An 845-nucleotide genomic window follows, 5' to 3' on the forward strand; every position below is an offset into this window, starting at 1 on the left:
ATAACAATTATAAATATATATGCACCCAACACTAGGGAACACAGATATATAAAGCAAAAATTATTAGTTCTAAAGAGAGAGGTAGACCCCAAAACAATAATAGTTAGGGACACTAACACCCCACTTTCAGCATTGGACAGATCATCAAGACATAAAATCCACAAAGAAATATCAGACTTAGTCTGCACTATAAACCAAATGGACCTAACAGACATTTATAGAACATTTCATCCAACAGCCATGGAATACACATTATTTTCCTCACCATATGAACATTCTCAAAGATAAACCACTTGTTAGGCCACAAAACAGGTCTCAAAAGAATCTAAATAATTAAAACCATATCAAGTATCTTTTATGACCACAGTGGAATAAAAGTAGAAATCAATAACAAGAGGAACTTTGAACACTATACAAACACATGGAAATTAAAAAACATAATCCTGAATGACCGTTGGGTCATTGAAGAAATTAAGACAGAAATTTTAAAATTTCTTGAAACAAATGAAAATGGAAATACAACATTCCAAAACCTATGGGATACAGCAAAAGCAGTACTAAGAGGGAATTTTATAGCAATAAATGTGTATATCAAAAAAGTAGAAAAAATGATCAATAAAGCAGTCTCAGTATCAAAAATTATGCCATATGTCATTCCCTTCCCCAATATAGAAATTATTTAGAAATCAATAACAAAAAGTTCAAGAAAATGTATATTATGAAAAAAATCATGTAAGAATTTCAAAATGTTTTGCACCAAAATAAACTAATACTAACTGGTTATAAAATGTTTGAACAAGATCTAGTTTCAGACACTAAAAAAGATAAGACATCAGTCTGAAAAG

The sequence above is a fragment of the Homo sapiens genome, chromosome 20, assembly GCF_000001405.40.
Source record: "Homo sapiens chromosome 20, GRCh38.p14 Primary Assembly".
Taxonomy (NCBI): domain Eukaryota; kingdom Metazoa; phylum Chordata; class Mammalia; order Primates; family Hominidae; genus Homo; species Homo sapiens.